This window comes from Homo sapiens, chromosome Y, assembly GCF_000001405.40.
Source record: "Homo sapiens chromosome Y, GRCh38.p14 Primary Assembly".
Classification (NCBI taxonomy): domain Eukaryota; kingdom Metazoa; phylum Chordata; class Mammalia; order Primates; family Hominidae; genus Homo; species Homo sapiens.
Genome location: NC_000024.10, coordinates 23,200,302 through 23,228,002, shown reverse-complemented (window position 1 = coordinate 23,228,002; position 27,701 = coordinate 23,200,302). Strand labels below are relative to the sequence as shown.

General features: G+C 39.7%; 1 protein-coding gene across 7 annotated transcripts in view; it reads right to left on the bottom strand.

Moving 5' to 3' along the window:
- Positions 1-8,546, bottom strand: part of DAZ2 (deleted in azoospermia 2) — a 71,900-nt gene extending 63,354 nt beyond the window's left edge. For 3 of the 7 annotated variants that reach the window (NM_020363.3, NM_001005785.2, NM_001005786.2), the window contains exons 1-5: positions 8,260-8,546; positions 1,513-1,659; positions 1,147-1,238; positions 535-586; positions 35-98 (exon numbers count right to left, since the gene is read on the bottom strand). In NM_020363.3, coding sequence (NP_065096.2) covers positions 35-98; positions 535-586; positions 1,147-1,238; positions 1,513-1,659; positions 8,260-8,262 — 358 coding nt within the window. In that variant the 5' untranslated portion in view covers positions 8,263-8,546. The remainder of the gene's footprint in view (positions 1-34; positions 99-534; positions 587-1,146; positions 1,239-1,512; positions 1,660-8,259) is intronic. The other 4 variants (NM_001389303.1, NM_001388494.1, NM_001388493.1 and 1 more) reach the window with 2 other exon arrangements.

Genomic DNA, 27,701 nt, shown 5'->3' with positions numbered 1-27,701 from the left:
GGGTCAGAAAAGAACCATTTCTTTTCCTACTCACATAACTTTTGTTTCCTGATTGCAGGGCCCAGCTTCAGCTTTTTACCATGGAAATGTATCTGTGACTGAAAATAGAACCGTTAACAAAACTAGAATCAATTTTCAAGTGTTAGCTTCCAAGACTTGGGTAAACACCTGAAGTCTTCTAAAGTACCTATCATCATAGAAGATCGGGGACAACTACGCACCAAATTAAAATTTGTCATCACGAAGCTACCTTACTTACCCTTACTACTCTAATCAGTGTCAAGAGGCATCAAGTGAAAGTTGATCAAAAACTTTCCATCACCCTGTCTCCAACCCTTCCTGTCTGTAGTTCATGAAACTAGGTGTCCAGTCAAAAATAAACAGGATCAAACAAGCTACGTGAGGTTACTCTGAGTTTGGATTTTGAACAGGAAGTGTGTCTTTCCCCAAATTTTACACAAGTCCGAGTGTATCACTGACACTAAACGTTGTAGCAATAAGATAAATAAGAGATTTTTCTATTAGATTACTTACTCCTACTATCTTCTGGACATCCACGTCATTAACAAACGAAACAAATCCATAGCTATAAAGGCAGACAAATGAAGCATAAAATCACCATCATACAGTACGTGGTTCAGAAGGTCTACTATTCTATATACAGAAGTGATCATGACAAAAGACGAATAATATACCATGATAAGTATTTGCTAAGATGTACATGACAGATCCTCTACAAATACCACTTTTTCTTAAGCAGAACTATGTCAAAATGTGCTAGGATTAGGGCAGTGTGACAACTTTATTGATTAGCAAAGAATTCATATCTGTGAACCTGAGTTTAACTTACTGTCTAAGACAAGGTGGTTAAAATTTAAGATGCTCTGCAGTGTATGAAGAAAACAATTATTTGAGAAAACTGATTAACTCATCTGTATGAAATAGAAACTGGAGACATTTAAATACAAACATTAGAAAAATGGTCAAATAGAAGAACTGGTAATAGCCTTTTATCCCCTACGTGAAAGAAATTAACACTGCAGAATATTGCATTTATACAAGGGTCAGAATATCAGTTTTGAAGTCTTGTCTGATACTTATAGAATAGGTGACTGGAGTTCACATATTTTTGATAAAATTACTCACCCTTTGGACACACCAGTTCGATTCGTGATTATCTTCACTTCTTTCACTGAACCGTATCTACCAAAGCAGCTTCCAATCTCAGTTTCATCCATCTATGGAAAAGAACTGAACGTCAGAGTAAAAATTCAGCATTCAAAAATTTCAACTTTACTACAATTTTACTACCATGAGGTGGAAATTTCTCCCCCATTTATCCCCGAATGACCAGCAGCCCTTTGTCAAAGATATTTTTAGTACCTATGGGTCAAACCTAAAAGCAATTCTAAACCTCCAGGAAGTACAAAAAAAAATTTAAGTTTGTAACAGGGCCCACATCCCATTGTTCATGATGTATGTTAAGGTAAAAATGAGGTACGAATACAATACCCTAGCATCAATTCCACCAACAAAAACAGTGTTTGGCACGATTTTGCCTTCTGGTAACACCCAGCCTTGGCTAGCTGCAGCTGATGAAGACTGGGTGCTGGCCTCTCTGGAGATGGTTGAGTTTGGAGTCTCAGGATTTGCAGCAGACTGTAATTTGGAAAGTAGACATCATAATTACGTATGCAGGCAAAACCCATACATAATGTGAAATACCATTTTTGTATTTTAAGTATATTTTATATAAATTACTTTCATTGTAATTCAGTCACCAGTGCAGCTCAGTTCAGGCTCAGGATTTAAACTTATCAGAGTACATCAGCATGGAATTTTAACCGAAGGATACAGTACTTTCTTAAACCTAGTGCCGCTCATCACCGAGTCTTGTATAATGCTGTGGAAGAATACCCATTTAGTATTTGTGAAAGTACTACGTGAAGTAGTTAAAAAAGACACCCAAAACTAGAGAGTTTAGATTTGTAAAAATTAAAGTTATTAAAATCATCCTGTTCTATATTCATAAACAACTTTTCACTTTACTGAGTAGACTAAAGATAAATCTTAAAAAAAAAAAAAAAAAAAAAAAGCCCCACCAAAAAGAAAATAAGCCTCAACGTTTTAAACCAATTTGTTACAATCCTCTTCCCTAACGCTAGGGTGTTCAAAGCATCTTTTGAAATAACATTTTTCTTCCTGAGTAACACGGAATCAGTCTGACTGATAATTCTGATTTTCACAGTGGGCTGATAGATATAAATGATACCATCTTTATTTTCAGATAAAAAAACACATACATATAACTCACTAATTTTCTAGATTCTGATCAGAACTGTCTTTATTCTTTCCACAGCAGACTCTAAGGTTAATGTAAAATTTTCTGAAGTAGTATTCATAAGTAATATATACGTTGGAGAAACAATATAGCATAGTGAAACAAAAATTAATTCAGTCAGGAGATCTAGGTTTATGTCCCTTACAGGTAAGTGGTTATAAGCCACCTACTTGCCAGCTATGTATCTGTGGGCAAAGTGCTTTGAGAATGACATGAGATCACATCTGTGAATTCATTTTGTACGTATAAAGTGGTACAAGTGGTGTGCCAATGTAAGTTAGTGTCCTGTTATTTGAATTTATTTTCAGCCGATTTGTTTTCAAGTTTCTTTTTTGGCTTCACTATTTAGCTGACTTATTTTGAAAAAAATTTTAATTAAGAACTAATTGACACATCAGGAAACTATGACACATCATTAATTTAAAAATCATTGGTGAAGTGCTGTTGACTTCACAAATGTCAGTACAAAATGCTGCAAAAGAGAAAGCTATTACACATATACCTGTCTGAAAGAAAACAAAAGACAAAAGAAACTGCGTTATCTTTTAGAACACAGTAATGTTACAGAAGTTAATAAGAAAGGAGGGTTCCTGCTTTGTTAATTAGAGCCTAGAAGTTACTGATTCTACACAGCTTTACTAGAGATCAAATCTAAATTGTCAAATCAACTAAAGCCGAGGTTACTGCATTTCTCTATTCTTTCGTGCTTGTACTTGCTATTTTGGGTTTGTAACTAATTCCTAATTCTTTCCTTTAACAGCGTTATTTCATGACAATGATGTGAAAGAAAAATTTAAAACACTATTTTTAAAGTTCTTCCTTTCAAAAATGTCTCACATTATTGTTTTTTCCAAATGACATTAAGCTGCACTACCTTGAACTACTGGGAACCTGATTAGATCTCCCTTCCCTATAGACAATTTACCAATTCCTTCTCAGTTCATTCAGAAATCCCAAACAGAATAAAACAAAACAAAACAAATTCTGAAATTCTTGTAGTTTCTTTTTCTCCTTTCCAATTCCTCCTTGATTTGTGGATGAACTTTGGGTATGTGTTTCCTTGATAAACAAGCTATATTACAGTATCGTCTCTGCACCATAGTGTTTGGATGTATTTTAATTTAGAAATGTAACATCTGGCAGAAAACTGTGTCAGACTACGAGAGGTTACGGAAATGCACTGATTCTCAACTGGGCAAGATTTTTGAGCCCCAGGGGCATTTAGCGACGTTTAGAGATTGGCTGTCACAACTGAGATGTATTCCTGGAATCTGATGGGCCGAAGGCCAGGCACACTACTGCGCATCCTACAGTGTAAAGACAGCCTCCTACCATAAGGAAGTATTTGGTGCACAATTTGAAAAGGGTCTGGTTAAGAAACCTTGTCACCGTGCCACAAGAATTGAAGAGGAAAATTCTTCTTTGGGAAGAACCTGATTTCCATCGCTCACTAAAGTGAATCTTTTCATGACCTCGGTTTCAGTTTCCTTGCTTGAAAACGAATGGCCGGAAAAGACCTCGGGTGTCTCTTCTGATTCTCATACTCATTTGGATACTCGAAATAACCGTAGTTTGGTAAAGAAGAAAAAAGGCATTTGATATTATTAAGAAGTTTGACTTTAGCTTGGATCTTACAAACCGGCTGCCTGCTTAACTGGAATCGTACATATAAAATTCACTGAATCTCTCTAACAGCGTCATAATACTTTAAATGAAGGAAGTAATGATCATGTCCTAGTCCTCAGCCAGCAGGTGGCGCTCAAAGCTAACAAGGTAAGCAATGTACCTCGTTTTCTGCAACGTACTTCACTTTTACCATGGCTCGAGTAGCAGGGATTGTTCAATTCCGACTGTGTACTTATACATAATTATATAATGTATATATAAAAATCCACAATCAACAGACAAACTTTGGTTAGTTTTAAACTACGGCCAAAAATATAAATGAATGCTTCGGATAAGCAAAAGTTTAGTTTGAAAGAAAGTACCATCGTAACCGTCAATGGCATCCTGAAAACAAACTGCATTAAAGAAGTAATTTTCTTGGCCGGGCGCGGTGGCTCACGCCTGTAATCCCAGCAGTTTGGGAGGCCGAGGCGGGTGGATCATGAGGTCAGGAGATCGAGACCATCCTGGCTAACAAGGTGAAACCCCGTCTCTACTAAAAATACAAAAAATTAGCCGGGCGCGGTGGCGGGCGCCTGTAGTCCCAGCTACTCGGGAGGCTGAGGCAGGAGAATGGCGTGAACCCGGGAAGCGGAGCTTGCAGTGAGCCGAGATTGCGCCACTGCAGTCCGCAGTCCGGCCTGGGCGACAGAGCGAGACTCCGTCTCAAAAAAATAAAATAAAATAAAACAAACAAACAAACAAAAAAACACAAAACACAAGAAGTAATTTTCTTAACCGTATCTTCAAGTGAGTTGTTGAATTTTCAAATGAGAAATGTTGCAATAGTAAACAGGGGTGAGCTTCAAGACCGTCATAATCACAACTCTCATTGCTATTTCTAGCAAACATATTCCTTGTTATATGCGGACAATCAAGTGACAAAGACAGCTAAAAGCTGGAAAAAATTATCATTAAACTCCTGCCATGTCAGCTCCTCTGCCAGTACTATCTAATGCAATTACTATGTGAACATGTAAGCAAATTGTTATTTACATAAACTGGCCAGGAAAAAGCCTATCATTTGTAGTCATCAAAGTTACATTCACAGCAATAGGAAGAGGAGCAAATAAAGAGAATGCTAAAATTAAGAAAATATGACGTGAAAATCAGAAGTTAATCCAAGAACAGAGTCCCGGGGAGTGGTGGGTGGCAAGGATGAAATTCAAGCAATACACAATCCTTGCAAAACTAAGCAAGAAAAAGCAAAAATATATGAGACCTGAAAAATGGGTTGTGGCCCGTGGTTATAAAAGAATGTTATGCTCAAACTCTATAGGAATAAATTTTGAAATCAACGACATGGTCAACTTGTACAGAAATTTTAATTCTTCCCAAACAATCTTGAAAAAGAACACCCAATGGTATTTGGCTTAGTTTCCCTGGGAGTTTTTTCAACTTGTAAAGAAACAGGTAACTTGGGTGTATGTGGTGTGTCACAGAGAGGTGCACACAGACGCCAGAAACCTGAAGTAAAGATAGAAGAAGAGATTAAGAAATGTAAACTCTTTTCTTCAATTTTCAAAGAGGAAAAAAGTACTTCTCAATGCATTTTACAAAGGTTAACAACACATAAGCAACAAAGCCTCATCAAGATGGTCCAACCCTCTCCTCAACACAAATGCAAAATTCCAGTAGGAAAGAATATAGTTTATATTGGCAATGCAAGAATACTGCATTCGCAGGATACGTTACTTTAATTCGTCATTGAAAAAGTATTTAATAAAATACAGCATTCATTTTTAAATTTTTTTAAAACCTAAGTAAAATAGAAATAGAGGATTCTTGCTTTCTATCAATCTAATTCTACCCTATCATGAAGCTTACAGTGAAATACTAGAGCCATCTCCACTGAAAATAGGAATGAGGTAAGGGCACCATGGCACCTCATCATTACTACTATATATATTTTCCCACTATGTATGACAAATGCGAATATTAATACAGGGTTTTTATGAGTCAGTAAGAAAAATAAAATTAAAAAAGGAAATTTAAAAAGCTAATGATCAATGCTCAACTTCACTGATGATTCAAAAAAGTGCACATCAACATAGTGTAACATTATCCAGCTATTAGGCTGACGATGTACAAAATCCTAATACCGTTCATTAGAAAGGGTGTGCAACAGAGATCACTCTACACACCATCAGTGGGAAAATACTGATACATGCTTTACCAAGAGCACCTTGGAAAAGGTGTATCATAATTTGACAGGGGGATACTCACCACTATACTAATGAGGAGCATAATTTAAAATTGTTATGAAAGGGCAAAAGCACTTCCACCCAGCAATGCCACTTACAGCAATTAATCTCAAGGAATTAATAATTAAGTACAAGTGTGCCAAGATATTTACACAAGGACATTCATGGCATTTTTTAAATTTTGTTTTGAGACTGAGTCTCCCTTTGTTGCCTAGGCTGGACTGCAGTGGCACCATCTCAGCTCACTGCAACCTGCTTCCCAGGTTCAAATGATTCTCCTGCCTCAGCCTCCCGAGTAGCTGGGATTACAAGTGCACGCCACCACGCCTGGCTAATTTTTCGTATTTTTAGTAGAGATGGGGTTTCACCATGTTAATCGGGCTGCTCTCGAAATCCTGACCTCAAGTGATCCGCCCGCCTCAGTCTCCCAAAGTGTTGGGATTACAGGCGTGAGCCACCGCGCCCAGCCCATGATAGTTTTAATACTGAAAAAGTATTCATCATAAGGGAATTCAGTAAAACAACAGTACAATTTTTAACATGATATACTGAAAATTAAAGTTATCTTCAGAATAATACCCACATTAATTGAAAGCTGCCAGTTGTAAAATAGTATTAAGCAGCACTATGTAACTTTTGTAAAAGCTGGCCTATCTATATGCAATTGCAATACATGCATAAAAATAAGTTGGAAAGGCATTCATGTATCAAAACTTAACTGTGGTTTTATGTGTTGGTATTAACATGGACTGCTATTTTCTTAGTGTGATTGTTTTCAAATGAGTAAATATACTACACTACTTTTATAATCAGGAAAAAAACCTAATGAAACGATAAGCATTTCTTCCCTCTACCTCTAAAAATGAAAAGTATTATTGTAAATAATTATAACTTATAACTCAAGGTGATTTTTTCATTAGCATGGGTAACATGTTGCACACTTATTACACATTATAGTTGCTTATGTATTTTTAATGTTTATACATGGTAATATAAACCGTGTATAAAACTCCTCCTTTTATTTCCAAAAACGAAAAGACAAAATTATCAATGCAGATACGCACACAGCATGTAACACGCGTGTTTGTGACTCAGTGTTTGGTCAGCGTATTCAGAGCCACATCTGTGATGGCGCTCAATGAACGCTGGGCATTTACCAAACTCACAGAAATGCACACCCAACATTATCTACCAATTGGACATTTAGTCAAAGTTTCCTGGTTTATCTACGGGGGAAAGATTGTGCCTGGAGTTTAAAAATTCTAAAATTCTCAATGGTAACTGCCGAAGCCAACCTCTTGCCACAAAGATGGCGTCGAGTGAGCTTTTGTGCCTGTCGCCGCCGCAGTAGGGAGCCGCCATCAGCCAGCCGCCATCAGCCAAGCCCCCAGCAGCTGCTAGCCGCGAAAGGATCAGAGGCACTTCCCACCCAGCCCCCTCAGCTAGTGGGCCGCGCCTTCAGGCCGCCCCACCCGCCACACTCAGGCCCCCACAAACCCCACCAACCCACCCCACCCAGTAGTACAAGGACCAGGAGGGAACCACTTCCTGAAGAAGTTCCGGCCCTCCCAATCCAAGGAGGCAAGTCTCTCAGCAGGCCCGCCGCCATCTTGCGGAGCCACCAGGAGAGCGTCAGAAGTGAAGTTGGCGGGGTGGGGGCGCGTGGGAGTGGGGGAAGGGGGAAAGGGCGCCTAGGAGTGGGGGTGGGGACGCGTGGGGGTGGGGAACCCGCACCCCAAACCGCTGCCAGGAGAGAACCCGGGGCAGGAAATGGGTTCCGCAAGGAGGCCGTGGCCCTTGTAAGTGAACTGTGAGGCAGGGCGTCCTGGGGACCCACGCCATGCTTGCTGTCCCGCCACTTCTGTGCCTGCCTCTCTGTATAGGCCGCGCTGCTGCCAGGCCGCCTCACCCCACCCTGCGGGCCACGGCTCCTAATGCATTCAGCGGGGTGGCCCCGAAACAGGAAAACCGAGGATAAGGCGGAGCCTGGTTTCACCCACCGGTGAAGACCCCACAGGCCTTGCCCCTCAGGTCTTTCCTTCAACTCACCATGGTGGTGGCAGGCAGCAGCTCCCGACAGGCTCAAGGAGGAACAGAGGCAGTGTTTCACCCACCACTTCTGGGTCTGCTGGTGAAGTCCGCTGGAACACGCTGTGGGGCTTCGAGTGGTCAAAGGAGCCAAAGGCTAAGGTGTAAGGAAAACCAAGGGCGGGCGAACCCTCGGAGGTAGAACCGCCAGGCTGAGGAGCGCAGGCCGACTGAGGCATGGACTGCGGGGCTCTGGGAGGTGGCTCCTGTGCCGGGTATCGGGGCGCGTGGTATCGGCCTGAGCCAATGGGTGGCAGCACACCCGCCCCCTGGAGGGTGGAGGCCTGCGGGGGATGACGGCCGTCCCCCACGCTGTGGGTGCGTAGAGTACGCAGGGTATGCCGTGCGTGTGTGCTGGCCAGTGCCTGGGTTCCAGGCAGGCACCGCCTCCAAAACACCCTTGAAATAAGTATGCATACTGAAATATATGGTATAGTTTTAAAAAATGATAATGTGTCTGGGCTGTAGTTTCAAAATGGCTTCCGGAATGCACAGGTTTAGCACAATCACTGTTAGCGTCACACCCACCCCAAAATCTTTTAAAGTACCTGCAGAAATAAATAGTAGCAAGTCTGTGGAAAACGGAGGGAGACATCAACAGGCCAGAAACTTGGACTCCTTTCTGTCAAGTTTGAGATATAAGGGGTTGGATGGGAGGGAACGCCAGTTTTGACATTCAGGATGTTCCTTCTTTCAAGAGATAGTTACTGAGTGCCTGTGATTACCAGGTACTGCAGATGCAGGAGTGAACAGAATAAAATAATATCTCTTTGCTCAGGGATTTTACATTTTAATGGAAGACTTCACCTTCTAGGACTTACAGAAAGACGCTAGGCCTGCCTAGAGACTTACAGAACATTCTCAAGATCAGAGCAAGGGCCTAGAGCGGGAGCAAGCTGTGGGGCAGGTGGTGGAGCCAATCACATAACTTTGGGGACCACTCCAGCACCTGGTTATGCACACAGGGCTACGTGGCTATGACCTTTATCCTCAAACTTCACTTCTGTACTGACGGAAAGAATTAAAATGTGACTTTTTGAACTGGCAAAATGCTGGACTGCTATAACGTGAGACGTGTCTCACTACTGACATCTAGTAATGCGGGATAAAAAAAAATAACGTTTTGTTTCCAATAGGCAGATAAGCCCATAAAAAAAGAAGGGAAATTCCAAGAACCAAAAATCAACTGAAAACCAGAGCAATGAATTGTTCAAATGATTGTTCTCCTGCCCTGGATATGGGGGCTGGGTTGTAGGGCAGCCAGTCATACTCGTTTGCCCAGGACTTACTGGTTTTAGCACTGAGAAATTCCTGCATCCCTAAGGAAACCAGAAGGATTGGTCCTCCTAGGTGTGGGCAAAATGTTACTCTCTCTAACTTGAGGTCTGGATGTTTAGGGGCAGGAGGTAAGGGCTCAAGGTGGGAGCTGGAACTGAGTACTCTGCAAAAAGCCATTGTCCCTAAAATCCTTAGGAAAAGGATGGAGTGGGGAAAATATAAATCACCCATGAACGAGCAGATGAGGAAGCTTGCCCCATCTCTGGATGAAGAAAATACGTATTTAACTCTCATTATATTTTAAAACCCTAGACCTGCATTTCATCAAAGTTTGGGGTTTAAATCTGTGACATATTATTGGAATCTGCAAGCCAAGAAATGGGTCCTCCTACACCATCACCCTCTCTCCTGCCTAAAGAGATCCTAGACATGGGGCATCTAGAATGCCTGGCAGAAGCAAACATAAAGCCGACTTGGATGAATCCTTCTACAACCTAGGCTGAAAGAAAATGATCCTTTAAGGACACGCTCACAGTAAAAATTTATACAACACTACTTATCTTGAATAAGAATGGCATACAAACAAGAAAGTTAAAACTTACAGAAGAAGCTTCTCAGTAGCAATAGAAACTAGAAGATAACAGTAATATGCTCACGTGTGTATGTGTTTTGTTTTGTGTTTTTTCTTTTTGTCACGTTATTTTTTTCCTCAACTTATTTGGAGTAATGCAGTCTATATTTTTAAGTGACTGTTTTACTATTTGAAAATGTAAACTTAAAATATAAAGCTAATACATAGCTTTACTCTCCTCTTGAATAATACAAAGGCCTTTAGGATGTTTTAGCTTTGGACACCCTCCCCTCTCTCAGTTTATATGTTATTCACTATTTTAGCTCTATCCTGGTTTCACCATATAAATTAGACATCGTTTTTTTAGACCCATCCACATATGTAGTAACATTTTGCTTACCATTTCTTTGCATATCTCAGATCTGCCTTCTGAATCATTTTCCTTACGCCTGTAGCAAATTCTTTATAATTTCCTTGTGTGACAGTGTGATGTGGTAAACTCTTGGGTTTTTTTCTACCTAAAATATTTTGATTTTTCCCTGTTGTTTCATAATTATACTGAATATATAATTCTAGGTTTAAAAGTATTTTCCCTCTCAGAATATTGAGCATATTACTCTGTTATCTTCTAGTTTCTATTGCAACTGAGAAATCTGCTGTCAGTCTTTTTGCTGTGTAAGATCAGTTTTTCTTTGGTGTTCTGAACTTTCACAATGATGTAAGTAGGTGTGGAGTTTTTAAAAATTTTGCCTGCTTAGGAGTTTTAACACTTTCTGGATTTGTGTATTAGTTCTTAACAGTTCTGAACAGTTTCACCCATTTTCTTGTTAAAGGTTAGCTGGTCAAGGGATCAAACATTATTTGTATTTTATATTTCATAAGTGATTCTTAGAATTTTCTTTAGATCATGAATTTTTTAAAGGCTGGTGCTGTTTTCTTGAAATCTTATGAAATCTCTTAAAAAATTTTTAGGATCAAAACTGATTGTATCCATTTCAATGTGTTAAGTAAGATTAGTGGCATAATTCGTATCAGCTCAGAAATAGATCTCTATATTTCTTCCTATATGCTGGGGGAGAAGAAAAAATGCTGGTGTCTTTGAACACCTCTGCCAGTTCTTCTGTGCTCCTAAAGCCTACGGCTTTGGAAAGAAGGCTACGTTTGTATAGGCACACTTGAATTTCAATCACTTGCAAATCATTTTCAAGATTTTTGTTTTATCTGCCCTGAGCGTCTATTATTATTTACCTGTTTTTAAAATTAACTTATTGTCCTAAACAATAACATTTGCAAGATCAGATGTACTGTTTTAGCTACATTTTAAACGGTGACATTAAAATAAATACAGAAAGATTCAAATTTAAAACACTGTTTGTTTATGCGTCACTTCATACCACATTCTGCCAGGTCAACAGGTAACATGGTTTTGGGAAACACTGGACTAGCAGAACTCCATAGAGCTTTAGATATGCAAAGTTAGGCCCAAGGGACTAAAGAGTAGAGTTTCAAATTGTTCTGCCTAATAAATGAGAATAATCAAATTACAAGGGGAGAAACCAAGCAAGGGGGTGGGGGGAGAAGTGGAAGTCCTGGAAGCTGGAGAAAAGAAGTAACCTTGCAGGTTGGCTTATTTGCTCACACCTGTAATTCTCACACTTTGGGAGGCTGAGCCCGATGGATCGCCCAAGTTCAGGTGTTTGAGACCAGTCTGGGGAACATGGGAAAACCCTGTCTCTACCAAAAATACCAAAAATTAGCTGGGTGTGGCAGTGTGCAGCTGTGGTCCCTGCTCCTCAGGAGGCTGAGGTGGGAGGATCATTTGAGTCTGGGAGGTGGCGGTTGCAGTGAGCCAAGATTGCCCCCACTGCATTCCAGCCTGGGTGACACAGTGAGACTCCTTCTCAGAAAAATGAAATTAACCTTGCAAAGAGACAAGAAGTTGGAGCCTGCAGTGAAAGATGTCTGAGTATATTAGAAACTTTTTTTTATATATGTTTTAAATAATTTATATTTTTTAAATATAATTTTAAAAATTATATTTATTGTTTAAATAAATTTAACTATTTTTTAAACAAATTTAAAAAACTTGTATGTCCGTGCCTCACCCCAAACCAACTAAATCAGCTGAGGGCAGGGCTCAGAAGTCAATATTTTTTTTAAGGAAATGTTTGTCTTGTTACTCCAATATGGGGCCAAATTTGAAAATTGGTGCTATTGGTGCTATGGAGGCTTGCTACTCAGTGTATGTAATCCTCAGATCAGCAACTTCACATCACGCGGGTGCTGTAAAATCTCAGGTCCCATGCCAAACCTACTGAATCAGAGTCTGCATTTTAACAAGATCTCCAAATGGCTCATGTGCACACTGACTGACGGTCAAGAAACATTGCCATCGAGAGCGCTTGTCATAAACAAGTTGCACCCCCCCTGGATCTGAGAATGCTTCACCTTATAAATAAATAGTCTACTTTCTCAGCCTTTCTTGCAGCTACATCTTGGGCAGGTAACCTACACAACAGCAGTGAGATGCACCCATCCCAAATTTTGAAGAGGGGACTGCTGATGCTGTAAAGAAGGGACTGCAGAGAATTCTTTCTGGAGAAGAGTATCAACAGCAGCAGCGGCAGCCATGGTATCGGTTAGAGCTGCGGTGGCCACTACTGTCAGTTGTGCAAGCCACGATGTAACTCAGTGCCCAGTGGTGACAGCTGAGGTTTCTTCACTGGACAAGTTCTGCGGCACGGTTTTGTGTGTCATTCCTGGAGACAACCTGGCTCTTTGGTTCATTTTGAGATTCTGTGGGCTAGTTATCCAATAAATTTTAATAAGTTGTTCTCCTGTTTAAACCAGCCAAAACTTCTGTGACTATTGCTTGCAACGAAGCATCTTGACTACATTAGGTGATGAGTGAGGTTAGCCAGACTGCTTTTAAAAAGAAGGTTAACAGCTAAAAGATTTATGACTCTTTACTGTGATTATGTAGCATACTGTCCTGCTATAGTGTCCAACCTTTACCAAGCTTCCAGTACACACACAAATGCCTTATGTCAGCGGTATTTTGTGAGGAGTGTCAAGGACACTGTCCGTTGCAACATGGGTCAGGGACAGCATGCTGATCCACAGCAAGATGATATGTAGATGAAATAATTCAGTAGGAACAGTAGCTTACAGCCAAAAGTGACCTGGAAAAGCAAAAATCATGAGCTCAGTATGCCCAGCAAGATAGAAAGAAATATGTGCTATTCCCATTGCATGTTAGCAGATGTTTAAACCAATTCCATTTAAATCTCAGGGTATGGTGCCTCATCTTCTGTTGGACCTGTATTCGTGTGGTCCAGCATAGCAACACACATCTCGTGTACACTTGTGCATACTTACAGATATGTCTATCAACTGAGCAACATTGGCTTAAGCCCTGCCTGTTCACCTTTAATCCTACTACCTGCAATAATAGTTTATTCAGTCAAAACTTAAATCTCCTAAGCAGATTGTCTGAATTTTGGGATTGGTCTGAAGCAAACGTGCATAATCTTCATGATGGCCTCTTGATTCTAAATATTAAATATTTAACTGAAAAATTATCAGTTTGTTAAAAGTAATAATATTGACACAAGGCACTGATACTGATACGGTGCATACTATGTACCAGGCATTATTGTAATCATTTTACTTCTAGTTCATCTAATCCTCATAACAATACTAGGTGCTATTATTATCTCAATTTTATGGAGAAGGAAGTAGAGGTACACAGAGGTTGGATAACTTGCCTGAGATCATAGTTGGTAGGCATCAGAGCTGTGATTTAAACCCAGTCAGACTTTAACATCTGAGTTCTCAACCAGTATGCTATATTAGCAAACTACATGGAGGAAGAAAGGGGTAATATAGTGGGACAAATTTATGTATTAAATGTCTTGTTCCCATGAGAGTAGCTAAACAAAGAAGCAAAACCACAAATCTAAGCCCTAAACAACACTATGGTCTGAATGTTTGCCCCCACTCAACCTCTCACCTGTACATATGTTGAAACTCTAGTCCCTGGGGTGATGGTATCAGGAAGCGGAGCCTTTGGGAGATGAATTAGGTCCTAAGGGCAGAGCGTTCGTGAATGAATGATGGTATTAGGAAGTGGAGCCTTTGGGAGACGAATTATGTCATGAGGCCAGAGCTTTGGTGAATGGGATTGATGCCCTTGTAAAAGAGGACTCGGGGAGCTTAGTTACTCCTTCTACCATGTAAGAATACAGCAAGAAGTTGGCAGTCTGCACCCCAGAAAAGTGTCCTCACCAGAACCTCACCGTGCTGACACCTTGGTCTTGGACTTGCCAGTCTCCAAAACTGTGAGATACAAATTTCTGTTGTTTATAAGCCATCCAGGTTCAGGTATTGTTATTATAAGAGCCTGAACAGATTAAGAAAGGTAGTACTGGGAGAGGGGTGCTGCTATAATAAATGCCTAAAACTATGGAATCAGTTTTGTAAATGGGTAATGGGTAGAGGCTGGAAGAGTTTTGACATGTATCCTAGAAAAATGCTACACTGCTGTGAACAGACCAGGCCATAAAGGGTGATTCTGATGAGGGTTCAGAAGGAGAAAAGGAGAGCTGTAGAGAAAACTTGACTCTTCTTAGAGAGTACCTAAGTAGTTGTGAAGAGACTTAGTAGAAATATAGACAGTAAAGACCATTCTGACGTGAGGAACATGTTATTGGAGACTAGAGGAAAGACAATCCTTGTTACAAAGTAGCAACAAACTTGGATAAATCATGTTCATGTACTATTGTTTTGTGGAGTATTGCTTTTACTATAGCAGCCTGAACAGATAATACTTCTATCTACACTAATGAATTGCTCCAAAACAATTGGCCCTTGAGGAGCCTATCTGCTTAACAAAAGTAAAATTTCCACATTTCCTTCTGAATTTTGCCTGTTAACAAATCTTTCAGTACTTTTTTCAAATGTTGGAATCAATCTCATCTCTACACCACTGACTGCCTACTCACACACATACTTCTCCCAGTTGCTTTGAAACTGCTTTTTCTGCATCAGGAGGCATCACTACTGAGCAAACTCTTGCAAATCACAAGTTGAACACTTGTGGAGAAAGCAGAGAGAAAAAGCTGGTATAACTCACTCTTCTTCCTTTCCTCATCCCTAATCATGCTAACCTTCATTTCCTTAGTTTTATTCTTTCTACATTCATTTTTTGTTTCTTATCCATTTTTGACAATACGAGTAATAGATAATATGTGCCCCTTTCTTTAAAATACTAAAAACATTCAGGTAGGCTTAAGTTACCTTTTGACCACCAGCTCTACATCCCAGATCCATTCCCAGAGATGGGTAGTTTGGTGTAAATCCTTTCAGATGTTTTTCTAGATGTTTCCTTTTATACACTTATAGGGAACATTTGATATTTGAACTTACAGAACATATTTACTAACATAAAATATGTGGCATTTTTATTATACTTGTAATAGAGAAATTATATTCATATAATAAGTACTATGTGTATGTATACATATTGTAGAAAATGTATGCTTACACTATATATTTATACTTAGAGGGTATATAGAGGGAATATATATTATTTGGGGTATATGTTCTTGAACAAAAATGCTATTAAAATGTATGTAACTTGATTTTTTTCCTCCAAGAACATGACTCAGAAATACCTACATTAACAGGTAGATTTTTTTTCTTTTTTAGAAATGAGGTCTTGCTGTATTGCCCAGGCTGGCCTGGAACTCCTGGGTTCAAGTGATCCTCCCACCTCAGCCTATGAGTAGCTGGGACTATGGGGGTACACCATCACACCCAGTTACTCAGAAATTTCTAATGTCAGCACATATATATATACTTAATTCCTTTTAACTTTGGCATAATTTTACATAATATGGATATGCCACCATTATTAGCCATTCCCTGGTCAATGGACATTTAGGTCACTTGTGCTTTGTCGTAGTTATTAATAATATACAATGAACCTCTCTCATTGGAGCCAAATGAGTATTTATTTTTTCTGGGGGTGAACGCCAAGAGATATATCTGTCGGGTCATGGATATGCACATTTCAAATTTTAATAGATATCAGAAAATTGCCCTTTGAAGTGTTGTGCCAGTATGTACCAATTTACACTCCACCATTTGTGAGTTAGAGTCTTCATTTGTCTATTCACTTTCCAATATTGATATCACTGCTCTTTAATTTGCCAACCTGATGGTCAAGAAGTGGCATCTCATTTTCATTTTACTTTGGTTTTCCCTGATTGCTCATGGAGTTAAACTTTTTTCTACTGTTTGTTGACTGTTTGGATTCCTCATTGCTGAGAGACCTGTTCATAGCCTCCGGTCATTTTTCATTTGAGTTGCTTGTCTTTATCATATTGTTTTGTGGTAATCTGGCTTCTTTCATTTTTTTGTTTGTTTGTTTGTTTGTTGTTTTGTTTTCTTTTGTTTTCAGGCAGAGTCTGGCTCTGTTGCCCAGACTGGTGTGCAGTGGCGCGATCTTGGCTCACTGCAACCTCTGCCTCCCAGGTTAAACTGATTCTCCTGCCTCAGCGTCCAGTGTAGCTGGGACTACAGGCACACACCACCACGCCTGGCTAATTTTTGTAGTTTTAGTACAGATGAGGCTTCACCATATTGGTCAGGCTGGTCTCGAACTCCTGACCTCAGGTGATCCACCCACCTCAGCCTCCCAAAGTGCTGGGATTACCGGCATGAGCCACCACACCCAGCCAGCTTCCTTCTTTATCTTCCTCCTCAGTCCCTCAGGCAAAGGTGCAGCGGTATTGGTGCCTCTTTGAAGTTCCACTTCAGTGTGATGAACTACAGTTACATTTATTTTCAAGAATTTCTTTTCCTAAACTGGAGAAATTTAAGCCATGAATCAGAGAGAAAGGGAAATCTCTGGTGTAAACATTAACCACTGAAACTTTCAATGTCTTTGAACCCGTCAACTCTGCTGGACCTCTTTCTAAAAAACAGATGAGAGTTGTTACTCAAGTCAGTTAGCCCTTTAGTACTTTCAAACATTTTTTTTTTAGGAGCTCAAGGAATTGCCAGAGAGAAGGAGAACTGTTAGCTCTGATTTCTAAAGAGCTTTCCTAAATATTGATTGCATTTTTTAGGCAATGCGACAATCTCAAAGCACTTTGCTAAGGGCGACATTGTGTTGAGGTCTAACTGTTAAATTTCTCATCTTGCCCCGATTCCCTTAATTTACAATGAGAATATCTGTAGAGAAATGAGGTGAGACATCAGGTGAGTAAATACACATTAACAGGGGCAGCATTTACAGATTAGCAGGGAAGGTTCTGATGACAACTTGATTAATGCAAAACTAAATTAATCAATCTCTGATCACCACAAAAAGGAGCGGGTGAAATGTTTCTTTTTTCCTCATGAAGGATTTTTTTTTTTCTGTGACTTACGTGGCATTGACTGAAAAAAAAAAAGTCCACAATTTCAAAACCCTTTTGGCAAAAACTTTATGTACCTCTAGCTAGCATTGGGTCCAGGTTCCAACATTTCACCCAAAAGTCCAAGTTCAAAGTCTCACCTGAGACAAGGCAAGTCTCACGTATGAGCCTGTAAAATCAAAAGTAAGTTAGTAACTTCCTAGATACAATGAGGGTACAGGCATTGAGTAAATACACCCATTCCAAATGGGTGAAATTGGCTAAAATGAAGGTGCAGCAGACCCCATGCAAAGTCTGAAATCTTCAGGGCAGCCAAATCTTAAGCTCTGCAGTGATCTCCTTTGACTTCATGTCTCATATCTAGATCATGCTGATACAAGAGATGGGTTCCCATGGCCTTAGGCGCTCCACCCCTGTGGTTTGCAGAGTACAACCCCCTTCCTGGCTGCTTTCACAGGCTGGCATTGAATGTATTTTGTATTTTCCAGGAGCACAGTGCCATTCTGGGGCAGATCCCTAGACATGCAGGCATTGTCATGCATCCTCTGAAATCTAGGCAGAGGTTCCTAAACCTAACTTCTTGGCTTCTGTGCACCCACAGGCTCAACAGCACATGGGAGATGCCAAGGCTTGGGGCTTGCAGCCTCTGAAGCAATAGCCTGAGCTCTGTGTTATCCCCTTTTACCCATGGCTGGGATGCATGGCACCAAGTCCCAAGACTGCACAAAGCAGCAAGGCCCTGTGCCCAGCCCATGAAACCATTTTTTCCCCCTAGGCCTCCAGGTCTGTAATAAGAGGGGCTGCTATGAAGTTCTCTGGCATGCCCTGGAGACATCTTCCCCACTGTCTTGGTGACTATCATTTGGTTCCTTGTTACTTATGCAAATTTCTGAAGCCAGCTCAAATTTCTCAACAGAAAATGGGTTTTTCTTTCTTTTCTGTCACATCATGAGGTTACAAATTTTCAAAACTTTTACACTCCATTTCACTTTTAAACATAAGTTCCAATTCCAAACCATCTCTTTATGAGTGCATAAAACTGAGTGATTTTAGGAGCATCCAAGTCAATTCTTGAACACATTGCTGCTGAGAAATTTCTTCCACCAGATACCCTAAATCTTCTCCTTCAAGCTCAAAGTTCCACAGATCTCTAGGGTAGGTGCAAAATGCTCCCAGTCTCTTTGCTAAATTATAGCAATAGTCACCTTTATTCTGCTTCCCAACAAGTTCCTCATCTCCATCTGAGACCACATCAGCCTGGACTTCATTGTCTATATCATTATCAGCATTTTGGTGAAAGACATTCAACAAGTCTCTAGGAAGTTCCAAATTTTCCCTCATTTTCTTGTCTTCTTCTGAGCCCTCCAAACTGTTCCAACCTCCGCCTGTTACCCCGTTCCAAAGATGCTTCCACATTCTTGGATATCTTTATAGCAGCACCCCACTCTCAGTCATACCAACTTACTGTATTAGGCCATTTTCATACTGCTATAAATAACTGCCCAAGACTGAGTAATTTACAAAGGAAAAATGGTCTAATTGACTCACAGTTCAGCATGCCTGGAGAGGCCTCAGGAAACTTACAATCATGGTGGAAGGTGAAGGGGAGGCAAGGCACCTTATTCACAAGGTAGCAGGAAAAACTGCCAAGGGAAGGGGGAAGACACCCTCATAAAACCATCAGATCTCATGAGAACTCATTATCATTAGAACGGTATGGGGGAAGCTGTCCCTACGATTCAATTACCGCCACCTGGTGTCTCCCTTGACATTTCGGGATTATGGGGATTACAATTCATGATGAGATTTGGGTGAGGACACAAAGCCTAACCATATCAGACCCCATCTCTACAAAAAATACAAAAATGAAAACAAAATTAACTGGACATGGTGGCATGAACCCATAGTATTAGCTTCTTGGGAGGCTGAGGTGGGAGGATCCCTTGAGCCCAGGAATTTGAGACTGCAGTGAGCTATGACAACACCACCGTACTCCAGCCTAGCTGACAGAACGAGACCTGTCTCTTAAAAACGGAACAAAACAAAATAAAACTTGTTGACTGACTAGGTATTGGAAATAACAAAAAAGGTTTCCCTCCACTTCCTTCCTTTTTTTAAAAATTATGTATATTATCTCTGTGCCTGGTTTTTCTTTATTCCATGATTTTCCTTTGACTGTATTCTCTTCTTTAGTCCTTTCAGTTCCTTGTACTTGCTAATGCAGGCTGAAATGCTAGCTAGAGGTACATAAAGTTTTTGCCAAAAGGGTTTTGAAATTGTGGACTTTTTTTTTTTTCAGTCAATGCCACGTAAGTCACAGAAAAAAAAAAAATCCTTCATGAGGAAAAAAGAAACATTTCACCCGCTCCTTTTTGTGGTGATCAGAGATTGATTAATTTAGTTTTGCATTAATCAAGTTGTCATCAGAACCTTCCCTGCTAATCTGTAAATGCTGCCCCTGTTAATGTGTATTTACTCACCTGATGTCTCACCTCATTTCTCTACAGATATTCTCATTGTAAATTAAGGGAATCGGGGCAAGATGAGAAATTTAACAGTTAGACCTCAACACAATGTCGCCCTTAGCAAAGTGCTTTGAGATTGTCGCATTGCCTAAAAAATGCAATCAATATTTAGGAAAGCTCTTTAGAAATCAGAGCTAACAGTTCTCCTTCTCTCTGGCAATTCCTTGAGCTCCTAAAAAAAAAATGTTTGAAAGTACTAAAGGGCTAACTGACTTGAGTAACAACTCTCATCTGTTTTTTAGAAAGAGGTCCAGCAGAGTTGACGGGTTCAAAGACATTGAAAGTTTCAGTGGTTAATGTTTACACCAGAGATTTCCCTTTCTCTCTGATTCATGGCTTAAATTTCTCCAGTTTAGGAAAAGAAATTCTTGAAAATAAATGTAACTGTAGTTCATCACACTGAAGTGGAACTTCAAAGAGGCACCAATACCGCTGCACCTTTGCCTGAGGGACTGAGGAGGAAGATAAAGAAGGAAGCTGGCTGGGTGTGGTGGCTCATGCCGGTAATCCCAGCACTTTGGGAGGCTGAGGTGGGTGGATCACCTGAGGTCAGGAGTTCGAGACCAGCCTGACCAATATGGTGAAGCCTCATCTGTACTAAAACTACAAAAATTAGCCAGGCGTGGTGGTGTGTGCCTGTAGTCCCAGCTACACTGGACGCTGAGGCAGGAGAATCAGTTTAACCTGGGAGGCAGAGGTTGCAGTGAGCCAAGATCGCGCCACTGCACACCAGTCTGGGCAACAGAGCCAGACTCTGCCTGAAAACAAAAGAAAACAAAACAACAAACAAACAAACAAACAAAAAAATGAAAGAAGCCAGATTACCACAAAACAATATGATAAAGACAAGCAACTCAAATGAAAAATGACCGGAGGCTATGAACAGGTCTCTCAGCAATGAGGAATCCAAACAGTCAACAAACAGTAGAAAAAAGTTTAACTCCATGAGCAATCAGGGAAAACCAAAGTAAAATGAAAATGAGATGCCACTTCTTGACCATCAGGTTGGCAAATTAAAGAGCAGTGATATCAATATTGGAAAGTGAATAGACAAATGAAGACTCTAACTCACAAATGGTGGAGTGTAAATTGGTACATACTGGCACAACACTTCAAAGGGCAATTTTCTGATATCTATTAAAATTTGAAATGTGCATATCCATGACCCGACAGATATATCTCTTGGCGTTCACCCCCAGAAAAAATAAATACTCATTTGGCTCCAATGAGAGAGGTTCATTGTATATTATTAATAACTACGACAAAGCACAAGTGACCTAAATGTCCATTGACCAGGGAATGGCTAATAATGGTGGCATATCCATATTATGTAAAATTATGCCAAAGTTAAAAGGAATTAAGTATATATATATGTGCTGACATTAGAAATTTCTGAGTAACTGGGTGTGATGGTGTACCCCCATAGTCCCAGCTACTCATAGGCTGAGGTGGGAGGATCACTTGAACCCAGGAGTTCCAGGCCAGCCTGGGCAATACAGCAAGACCTCATTTCTAAAAAAGAAAAAAAATCTACCTGTTAATGTAGGTATTTCTGAGTCATGTTCTTGGAGGAAAAAAATCAAGTTACATACATTTTAATAGCATTTTTGTTCAAGAACATATACCCCAAATAATATATATTCCCTCTATATACCCTCTAAGTATAAATATATAGTGTAAGCATACATTTTCTACAATATGTATACATATACATAGTACTTATTATATGAATATAATTTCTCTATTACAAGTATAATAAAAATGCCACATATTTTATGTTAGTAAATATGTTCTGTAAGTTCAAATATCAAATGTTCCCTATAAGTGTATAAAAGGAAACATCTAGAAAAACATCTGAAAGGATTTACACCAAACTACCCATCTCTGGGAATGGATCTGGGATGTAGAGCTGGTGGTCAAAAGGTAACTTAAGCCTACCTGAATGTTTTTAGTATTTTAAAGAAAGGGGCACATATTATCTATTACTCGTATTGTCAAAAATGGATAAGAAACAAAAAATGAATGTAGAAAGAATAAAACTAAGGAAATGAAGGTTAGCATGATTAGGGATGAGGAAAGGAAGAAGAGTGAGTTATACCAGCTTTTTCTCTCTGCTTTCTCCACAAGTGTTCAACTTGTGATTTGCAAGAGTTTGCTCAGTAGTGATGCCTCCTGATGCAGAAAAAGCAGTTTCAAAGCAACTGGGAGAAGTATGTGTGTGAGTAGGCAGTCAGTGGTGTAGAGATGAGATTGATTCCAACATTTGAAAAAAGTACTGAAAGATTTGTTAACAGGCAAAATTCAGAAGGAAATGTGGAAATTTTACTTTTGTTAAGCAGATAGGCTCCTCAAGGGCCAATTGTTTTGGAGCAATTCATTAGTGTAGATAGAAGTATTATCTGTTCAGGCTGCTATAGTAAAAGCAATACTCCACAAAACAATAGTACATGAACATGATTTATCCAAGTTTGTTGCTACTTTGTAACAAGGATTGTCTTTCCTCTAGTCTCCAATAACATGTTCCTCACGTCAGAATGGTCTTTACTGTCTATATTTCTACTAAGTCTCTTCACAACTACTTAGGTACTCTCTAAGAAGAGTCAAGTTTTCTCTACAGCTCTCCTTTTCTCCTTCTGAACCCTCATCAGAATCACCCTTTATGGCCTGGTCTGTTCACAGCAGTGTAGCATTTTTCTAGGATACATGTCAAAACTCTTCCAGCCTCTACCCATTACCCATTTACAAAACTGATTCCATAGTTTTAGGCATTTATTATAGCAGCACCCCTCTCCCAGTACTACCTTTCTTAATCTGTTCAGGCTCTTATAATAACAATACCTGAACCTGGATGGCTTATAAACAACAGAAATTTGTATCTCACAGTTTTGGAGACTGGCAAGTCCAAGACCAGGGTGTCAGCACGGTGAGGTTCTGGTGAGGACACTTTTCTGGGGTGCAGACTGCCAACTTCTTGCTGTATTCTTACATGGTAGAAGGAGTAACTAAGCTCCCCGAGTCCTCTTTTACAAGGGCATCAATCCCATTCACCAAAGCTCTGGCCTCATGACATAATTCGTCTCCCAAAGGCTCCACTTCCTAATACCATCATTCATTCACGAACGCTCTGCCCTTAGGACCTAATTCATCTCCCAAAGGCTCCGCTTCCTGATACCATCACCCCAGGGACTAGAGTTTCAACATATGTACAGGTGAGAGGTTGAGTGGGGGCAAACATTCAGACCATAGTGTTGTTTAGGGCTTAGATTTGTGGTTTTGCTTCTTTGTTTAGCTACTCTCATGGGAACAAGACATTTAATACATAAATTTGTCCCACTATATTACCCCTTTCTTCCTCCATGTAGTTTGCTAATATAGCATACTGGTTGAGAACTCAGATGTTAAAGTCTGACTGGGTTTAAATCACAGCTCTGATGCCTACCAACTATGATCTCAGGCAAGTTATCCAACCTCTGTGTACCTCTACTTCCTTCTCCATAAAATTGAGATAATAATAGCACCTAGTATTGTTATGAGGATTAGATGAACTAGAAGTAAAATGATTACAATAATGCCTGGTACATAGTATGCACCGTATCAGTATCAGTGCCTTGTGTCAATATTATTACTTTTAACAAACTGATAATTTTTCAGTTAAATATTTAATATTTAGAATCAAGAGGCCATCATGAAGATTATGCACGTTTGCTTCAGACCAATCCCAAAATTCAGACAATCTGCTTAGGAGATTTAAGTTTTGACTGAATAAACTATTATTGCAGGTAGTAGGATTAAAGGTGAACAGGCAGGGCTTAAGCCAATGTTGCTCAGTTGATAGACATATCTGTAAGTATGCACAAGTGTACACGAGATGTGTGTTGCTATGCTGGACCACACGAATACAGGTCCAACAGAAGATGACGCACCATACCCTGAGATTTAAATGGAATTGGTTTAAACATCTGCTAACATGCAATGGGAATAGCACATATTTCTTTCTATCTTGCTGGGCATACTGAGCTCATGATTTTTGCTTTTCCAGGTCACTTTTGGCTGTAAGCTACTGTTCCTACTGAATTATTTCATCTACATATCATCTTGCTGTGGATCAGCATGCTGTCCCTGACCCATGTTGCAACGGACAGTGTCCTTGACACTCCTCACAAAATACCGCTGACATAAGGCATTTGTGTGTGTACTGGAAGCTTGGTAAAGGTTGGACACTATAGCAGGACAGTATGCTACATAATCACAGTAAAGAGTCATAAATCTTTTAGCTGTTAACCTTCTTTTTAAAAGCAGTCTGGCTAACCTCACTCATCACCTAATGTAGTCAAGATGCTTCGTTGCAAGCAATAGTCACAGAAGTTTTGGCTGGTTTAAACAGGAGAACAACTTATTAAAATTTATTGGATAACTAGCCCACAGAATCTCAAAATGAACCAAAGAGCCAGGTTGTCTCCAGGAATGACACACAAAACCGTGCCGCAGAACTTGTCCAGTGAAGAAACCTCAGCTGTCACCACTGGGCACTGAGTTACATCGTGGCTTGCACAACTGACAGTAGTGGCCACCGCAGCTCTAACCGATACCATGGCTGCCGCTGCTGCTGTTGATACTCTTCTCCAGAAAGAATTCTCTGCAGTCCCTTCTTTACAGCATCAGCAGTCCCCTCTTCAAAATTTGGGATGGGTGCATCTCACTGCTGTTGTGTAGGTTACCTGCCCAAGATGTAGCTGCAAGAAAGGCTGAGAAAGTAGACTATTTATTTATAAGGTGAAGCATTCTCAGATCCAGGGGGGGTGCAACTTGTTTATGACAAGCGCTCTCGATGGCAATGTTTCTTGACCGTCAGTCAGTGTGCACATGAGCCATTTGGAGATCTTGTTAAAATGCAGACTCTGATTCAGTAGGTTTGGCATGGGACCTGAGATTTTACAGCACCCGCGTGATGTGAAGTTGCTGATCTGAGGATTACATACACTGAGTAGCAAGCCTCCATAGCACCAATAGCACCAATTTTCAAATTTGGCCCCATATTGGAGTAACAAGACAAACATTTCCTTAAAAAAAATATTGACTTCTGAGCCCTGCCCTCAGCTGATTTAGTTGGTTTGGGGTGAGGCACGGACATACAAGTTTTTTAAATTTGTTTAAAAAATAGTTAAATTTATTTAAACAATAAATATAATTTTTAAAATTATATTTAAAAAATATAAATTATTTAAAACATATATAAAAAAAAGTTTCTAATATACTCAGACATCTTTCACTGCAGGCTCCAACTTCTTGTCTCTTTGCAAGGTTAATTTCATTTTTCTGAGAAGGAGTCTCACTGTGTCACCCAGGCTGGAATGCAGTGGGGGCAATCTTGGCTCACTGCAACCGCCACCTCCCAGACTCAAATGATCCTCCCACCTCAGCCTCCTGAGGAGCAGGGACCACAGCTGCACACTGCCACACCCAGCTAATTTTTGGTATTTTTGGTAGAGACAGGGTTTTCCCATGTTCCCCAGACTGGTCTCAAACACCTGAACTTGGGCGATCCATCGGGCTCAGCCTCCCAAAGTGTGAGAATTACAGGTGTGAGCAAATAAGCCAACCTGCAAGGTTACTTCTTTTCTCCAGCTTCCAGGACTTCCACTTCTCCCCCCACCCCCTTGCTTGGTTTCTCCCCTTGTAATTTGATTATTCTCATTTATTAGGCAGAACAATTTGAAACTCTACTCTTTAGTCCCTTGGGCCTAACTTTGCATATCTAAAGCTCTATGGAGTTCTGCTAGTCCAGTGTTTCCCAAAACCATGTTACCTGTTGACCTGGCAGAATGTGGTATGAAGTGACGCATAAACAAACAGTGTTTTAAATTTGAATCTTTCTGTATTTATTTTAATGTCACCGTTTAAAATGTAGCTAAAACAGTACATCTGATCTTGCAAATGTTATTGTTTAGGACAATAAGTTAATTTTAAAAACAGGTAAATAATAATAGACGCTCAGGGCAGATAAAACAAAAATCTTGAAAATGATTTGCAAGTGATTGAAATTCAAGTGTGCCTATACAAACGTAGCCTTCTTTCCAAAGCCGTAGGCTTTAGGAGCACAGAAGAACTGGCAGAGGTGTTCAAAGACACCAGCATTTTTTCTTCTCCCCCAGCATATAGGAAGAAATATAGAGATCTATTTCTGAGCTGATACGAATTATGCCACTAATCTTACTTAACACATTGAAATGGATACAATCAGTTTTGATCCTAAAAATTTTTTAAGAGATTTCATAAGATTTCAAGAAAACAGCACCAGCCTTTAAAAAATTCATGATCTAAAGAAAATTCTAAGAATCACTTATGAAATATAAAATACAAATAATGTTTGATCCCTTGACCAGCTAACCTTTAACAAGAAAATGGGTGAAACTGTTCAGAACTGTTAAGAACTAATACACAAATCCAGAAAGTGTTAAAACTCCTAAGCAGGCAAAATTTTTAAAAACTCCACACCTACTTACATCATTGTGAAAGTTCAGAACACCAAAGAAAAACTGATCTTACACAGCAAAAAGACTGACAGCAGATTTCTCAGTTGCAATAGAAACTAGAAGATAACAGAGTAATATGCTCAATATTCTGAGAGGGAAAATACTTTTAAACCTAGAATTATATATTCAGTATAATTATGAAACAACAGGGAAAAATCAAAATATTTTAGGTAGAAAAAAACCCAAGAGTTTACCACATCACACTGTCACACAAGGAAATTATAAAGAATTTGCTACAGGCGTAAGGAAAATGATTCAGAAGGCAGATCTGAGATATGCAAAGAAATGGTAAGCAAAATGTTACTACATATGTGGATGGGTCTAAAAAAACGATGTCTAATTTATATGGTGAAACCAGGATAGAGCTAAAATAGTGAATAACATATAAACTGAGAGAGGGGAGGGTGTCCAAAGCTAAAACATCCTAAAGGCCTTTGTATTATTCAAGAGGAGAGTAAAGCTATGTATTAGCTTTATATTTTAAGTTTACATTTTCAAATAGTAAAACAGTCACTTAAAAATATAGACTGCATTACTCCAAATAAGTTGAGGAATAAAATAACGTGACAAAAAGAAAAAACACAAAACAAAACACATACACACGTGAGCATATTACTGTTATCTTCTAGTTTCTATTGCTACTGAGAAGCTTCTTCTGTAAGTTTTAACTTTCTTGTTTGTATGCCATTCTTATTCAAGATAAGTAGTGTTGTATAAATTTTTACTGTGAGCGTGTCCTTAAAGGATCATTTTCTTTCAGCCTAGGTTGTAGAAGGATTCATCCAAGTCGGCTTTATGTTTGCTTCTGCCAGGCATTCTAGATGCCCCATGTCTAGGATCTCTTTAGGCAGGAGAGAGGGTGATGGTGTAGGAGGACCCATTTCTTGGCTTGCAGATTCCAATAATATGTCACAGATTTAAACCCCAAACTTTGATGAAATGCAGGTCTAGGGTTTTAAAATATAATGAGAGTTAAATACGTATTTTCTTCATCCAGAGATGGGGCAAGCTTCCTCATCTGCTCGTTCATGGGTGATTTATATTTTCCCCACTCCATCCTTTTCCTAAGGAT